General features: G+C 58.0%; 1 protein-coding gene across 2 annotated transcripts in view; it reads left to right on the forward strand.

Moving 5' to 3' along the window:
• Positions 1-6,000, forward strand: part of TAFA5 (TAFA chemokine like family member 5) — a 262,380-nt gene that overhangs the window by 214,012 nt on the left and 42,368 nt on the right. For both annotated transcript variants that reach the window (NM_001082967.3, NM_015381.7), the window contains exon 3: positions 4,153-4,280. In NM_001082967.3, coding sequence (NP_001076436.1) covers positions 4,153-4,280 — 128 coding nt within the window. The remainder of the gene's footprint in view (positions 1-4,152; positions 4,281-6,000) is intronic.

Below are 6,000 nucleotides of genomic sequence, written 5' to 3' on the forward strand. Positions count from 1 at the left end.
CCCAACAACACAGCCTGTAGGTTCTGGCCAGCCGAGCCTTGTGCTGGGTAGTGCGCTGTGGCCTGCGCCGTATCCACCCTCAGCGTCCTTCTCCCGGGATTTCCCAGCCCAGAGCATGAGCTTCGTGGTGGGCATGAGGTCCCAGCTGAGCTCGGTAGTGAAGGATTTGGGCCCAGGCCACCTCCTGTCCACCCTCTCACAGCCTGCCCTGCAGGCAGGTCAGGACCTGCCCTCGGACACCACCCACACTGCCCGGGTTTTCTGGTCTGTGCCAACCCCACTCCTGCTGGCCCAGGCCCTGCCCTGTGCTGCAGAGAGTGCCAGAACTGGCCCGGGCAGATGCAGAAACATCTCCCTGTTGCAGTTGAAGGGCTCACTTCACCTGAGACAGCCCAGTCCCTGCTTCTGGCTGTTAGGGCAGAACAGGACAGGCACTGGGGACCCCAGGGGGTTTCTGAGGCCCCGTTCAGCTCAAGATGAGAGCAGGAGCCACATTGCACTAAAGACTACCTTGGGCGCCATGGTACGGGGTGGATGGGAGCCCACGTGGGGATTTCTTTTAAGCCACACTGGAGCCTCTTCCTTTCATGTCCTTCAGTGTTGGTGCTAGAGAAACACACCCTCAACACACACGCGCACACACACACACACACACACACGATGCTTTCTGTAATTTGTCCAGCTCTTTTCTCAGGCATTGCAAGGGGATTTCTGCTACTGGGGCATGTGTGTTTCATCCTGTAGCTTCCTCGTGGGTTTAAGGTTCGTGTTTGTGGGTGTCTGAGATTTTCTACCATATTTACTGTTACCCAACACGATGCATCAGGGATGGGAGACACAGCTGCTGGTGGCTTTCTGCAGGAATAGAACAGACAAGAAAAGGGGCCCCGGGAAGACGCATGACAGATTCCGGCCATCCCCACTCATGGCGCCATCCCCTCTCTCAGCGCTGTCCCTCGGGGTTGGTGGACGTGCAGCAGGTGGCTGGGACCCTCTGAGGGCCTGGGAGCTGCAGCCTGGGTGGCTTGTTCTTCCTGGAGTCGCCCTGGGAAGCCGGGGGGTTCCCTATCCCCACGTGCCATGTTAGTGGCAAGGAGCACAGTTGCTTTTTCTCGGAGGGAGACACTGATTCTCAGCTGGAGTTTCCTCACCTGACTCTTCAGGTGAACGAGGGATGTTCCCATGTCTCCTGGTCTCCTGGCTGTCTCAGCCGGCTCAGGCTGCCGTAGCAAAACTCCGCATACTGAGGGGCTTAAACAACACACGTTTATTTTCTCACGGTTCTGGAGGCTGGACATTCAGGATCATGGTGCTGATAGGTTTGGTTCCTGGTGAGGATCTGATTCCTGGCTTCTAGGCAGCATCTGCTTGCTGTGTCCTGAGATGGTGCAGGGGGCTGGGGAGGGGAGAGAGAGAGAGACAGAGAAAGAGAGACAGCGAGCACACATGCTTGAACTCTCTGGAGTCTCTTAAGGACAGGAATCCTGGCAGATCAGGGCCCCACACTCATGGCCTCATCTAACCTTCTTCACCTTCTGAAGGCCCCATCTCCAAATCCAGGGGTGAGGCTGCACTGAGAGGATATTGCATCCCTAGCACTGACCTGGAAAGGGATTGGGGGTAGCCATGCCCGGCTGGTGGACGCCTGCCTCCCTGGCTGTGGGTGTGAAGGTGCCGGGGGTGGGGTGGGGCAGGACTGGCTGGGACACAGCACCCCACAGCGTCCTCTGCCGTGGGTGCTGTGGCAGGCATGACCAGCCCATCTCAGACTCCTCTCCACTGCAGTCATGCAGGCTTCAGGCAGCTCCTCCCCCCTTGTCGGAACTGAGGACGAGAACCCATTCATTCTGCCTGGGATGCTGTCCCTTTGTCTGTCTTCCAGAGGGCCCCTGACCTCCCAGACCTGCCTCCCCTGCGATGACCCCAGGGCCTGTGCCCTCGTGGGGTGAGGAGTGAGCTGTTCCCCAGGACCCTGTCCTCTGCTGCCCACTGCTCCTATAGGAACAGCCACTGCCTGTGGTCCAGCGGCATGATTGGCTGACCCTGTGCAAAATGAAATGCAAGGCCCTTGTTAAAAATTATTCAGAATTTCAAGACTTGGGAACTGCAGAGCGTTGTCCAAGCGGTGGCCCTCCTATACCTGGAGCCGTGTGCAGCAGCCTGTTTGCATAGCCATGAAGCCAGCCCGCTGCCCGTCTGGAGGACGGTATGTTAGCACACATGTGTGCACACACGTGCATTTGCACAACTGTTTATGTAGTTGTCATATCCTTCCTATGGCGAGGAATCTTGGAAATTTTTTCAGGTTTTCAAGTAAACAGGTATCCTGGGGAACTACAGTTCTGGTTTATGCACATTGAGAGTTGTGTTCTTTATTTAAAAAAAGGAAAAGAGGTGACATGGAATAGAAAACCCAGGAGAGAGGAGGAAGCCAAGGGCTCTGGAGCTTCGTGAAAGGGACCGGGGCTGCAGACGGGAGGTGGGGGCTGGGGGCCATGGGGGCCACTCTTGCCCTGGGCCTGGGTGTCTGTGCAGCCTGGGCCTGGTGTGGGTGACAGAGAGGCCTTCCCTACTCTGCAGGGCTGGCAACTGAGGCAGCCCAGACACTGGGTTCTCTGCATCCTGGGGCCAGTGGACCCATCAAACATTGAGCCCCAGGAAGGAGGGACCCAAAGGAAAACAGGAAGGGGCTTCATGCGTGCATTGCCCACATCCAACAAGATGAGTTCCAAGCCTCTATTCGGAACAGTGAGGACCCCGAGGAACTCGGAACAGTGAGGACCCCGAGGAACTGTGAGTGGGCGAGGAAGGGGAGGAAAAGGCCCACCCTGGCCCTCCCAGCACTGGCATGAAGCGAGCCACATGCAGTCCATCCACTTGGCACGTAGAGTGGGGTGCCTGGCTCTCACCAGCGAGTGCAGTGGGGATATGTGACTTCATCCGTTCTCCTAGAGCCTCGGACCCAAACTTTCAAACTTCTTTTTCATGTAAGATGCAAAGTTCTCCCTAATCTCCCGCCATAGGGTTGAAGTCGGTGGTAGAATCCTGTGTATATAAGTGTGCATGTTTATAACTTAACCTTGAACTAAAATACTGCCGGGCAGGTGTTTGGTATCTGATCTGAATGCCTACGTTTTTCAACTGGATGGCAACCCCTGTTTGTAGGTCCAATTTTTATAAAAGTAATTATGTGTGCATTAGGAAGGACATATTTTTTCCCAGTTTGAGAAATGACTAATCGTTCTTTTGAGATTCCCGCAGCGAAGGTTATGTTAATACAATCAGCTTTTACTCCGCCATGAAGTCCTTCTCGTGCTTTCTGGTGGAGAGTAATCTCCAGTCTGCCTAACACCTACAGCCACAAAATAGGGTGGGCCTCCAGGGAAGAGAGAAAATGCAATTCTCTCTGGCATGGGAGGAGTTAATGTGGGCTTCAGAGTCCTTGTGCTGGTGGGGAGCCAGTGCCCCCATCCACCTGGCCCTGCCCTGCCCCCTGCCCTGTCCAAGGGCCATCACAAGGACTCACATCCTTTAATCTTGGAGGCTTGACATGGCTGGTGCTGGGCCGGCCCCAGGGGTCAGCCGGGCATCTGCAGATGAGACGAGGCGGGAGTAGGATGGGGGCCAGGGGTGGTTGTAAAATCCTCCAGTCAAGGATGGGAAATCGACTCCCCATCTCCAGCCTGGCCTCACTCTGAGCTCCAAGCCTGGGCCCCCTTGTTCCCCTTTGGTTACCTCCCTGTGCACAGGCTGCCCTCGCTGTATCTGAGGATGTCCTGACTGGGAACCCCCTCCTCCTGCCTTCTTCTGGCTCTCAAGTGGATTCCAGACAAGAGACAGTGAGGCAGCCACACTGCAGGAGGGGCCATGGCTCTGCTTCACAGACATGTCTCTAGCTCCCTCGATCATTGCTTGCTGCTCCACGACTGGCCGATGGCAGAGCGGGACTTGGGGAGCAAGCACTAAACCAGGAGACCAGGAAGCTGGCAAAGCCCCTGGGCCCAGTGTCCCTGTGTGAGGGTCCCTGGGTGGAGCCACGCCGGGCATTGCCTGAGGGCCCCCCCAGCCAGTGCCAGGACCCAGGTGCCCTCAGCAACACCCTCACGATCCATGAGAGTAGCACGCTGATTGCCTCTCTCTTTTCTCCCACAGCAAGAATCATCAAGACCAAGCAGTGGTGTGACATGCTTCCGTGTCTGGAGGGGGAAGGCTGCGACTTGTTAATCAACCGGTCAGGCTGGACGTGCACGCAGCCCGGCGGGAGGATAAAGACCACCACGGTATGTGGCCCTCGGCTTTCTCGTGGGTGTGCTGGGGAGGGGGTATGTGTGTGCGGGCCTCCGACGCCACCCGGGCTCCGCGGGGACAGGTGGCAGCTGCTCACTCCATCCTCATGCAGAGAGGCCAGGGCCCTGTCTCCTCCCCCACCTCCCTCTCTGGTGCTAAATTCCTGACCATCTGTCCTGGGGCAGACGGTCTGTGAGTACATGGGGGCTGAGAGCTGGATGCAGAACCAGCTGCAAGGCTGGTCAGCCCAGAAGTCAGATCACTGACCAGGTCTCGAAACCCCCTGGTTAGAGCCGTCTTGTTTCCGGGACTGATGTGCCCGTGATTTTGCAGGCTGGAGGAGGCATCCGCCCCTCCTGAAGATGAACTTCTGATAACTCCCCCAGGGCACGGCGGGGGTTCTGTGGAGACAGGGCCAGGTTCAGGTTCCGTCCAGGTGTGCTCCTTCCGTCCCTGGGCCTGGCCTGGTGGCTGCTCACACCAGAGACCCGGAGGGCCCTTCAGCTCCTCTCTGTCCCCCTGAGTGGGGCATGCAGTGCACCCCGCCCTCCCAAAGCCACGGCTGACCTGGGTCTCTAGAGCTGCTCTTCCCAAGGGCGGGAGCTTGGGGAACGCCGGGTGGACATGGGCCTTTTCTGAAGGCGGCGCCTCCAGGCATGCCACGGATGCTGAGGCGGTTTCCCCTGCAGAGGGGCAGAGGAGGGGAGCCCACGCCCACGTGCATGGGGCTCGGGGCATTCCCATGAGGTGGCCTCAACTCCTCACTAGCGAGTGGCACCCCCTCATCCTGGCTGCTCCTCCTTTGAGGTTGGCATTGGAAGCTGAGGACGTGAGTGGGTGAGCGTTTCCCTAACACGGATCCGGGCTCCACGCTCTGGGAATAGGTCAGGGAGATCTGTGGCTGGGCAGAAGGATCTGGAAAGCCCCCTGGCATCCGAGCCTCCTCCCAGGATTGCACAGGGAGAGGGGGCTGCAGCTCCTCACACTGGGCTGCAGGGAAATCCTTCCCCTTGCTGCCTGAGCAGCCTCCAAGAGAGGGCTCGGCTGGGCTGTTCCGGCACTTGGTTCAAGAGGCCAATTTGGTGGAGTTGCTGCAAGGAGAACCACGGATCCCTGGGGTTCTAACGTAATTCGGGGCTCTCAGGGTCGTCTTCTGAGAGTCGCACGGCTTTCTGCTGCAGCCAGGATGTCAGTGAGATGGGCAAGGCGGCACTCCAAGCCCCCCATGGGTTTCTCAGGGACCTCTTGCATTTGTGGAAGTTCATGCAGACTCAGCCTCGCTGGCAGCCCAGGGCCTCCCCAGGTGTGGGCCTGCAGGAGGAGTGTGAGGCCAGGCAACGGCGCCACCCCGAGGCATGCGGACAGGACAGGAGATGAGGGACGTGGGTTGCTCTAAGCTGAGGTCCTGGGCTTTGCCTGGTCAGGGTTTGTTTATCTGGCATTAAGTGCAGAAGCAAATGATTCCGTCCTGCACCCAGGAAATGCACAGTGCTCTACCATGTCCTTACTGCTACCTGTCTGCAGAGGGGGTCTAGGCTCTCCTCTGTCCCTGCTGGTTGGGGTTCCCAGGCCTGCGTTACCGCCCTGAGTCTCCAGCAACACAAACAGCAGGTGCATTCCATCCACCTGTGGACCCCAGTCAGGCGCAGCCTTTCGTTTCCCTCATAGAAGCTTCAACATAAGCGGCCACCTCGCCCTGAATTTGGGAGGGAT

The sequence above is a fragment of the Homo sapiens genome, chromosome 22, assembly GCF_000001405.40.
Source record: "Homo sapiens chromosome 22, GRCh38.p14 Primary Assembly".
Classification (NCBI taxonomy): Eukaryota; Metazoa; Chordata; class Mammalia; order Primates; family Hominidae; genus Homo; species Homo sapiens.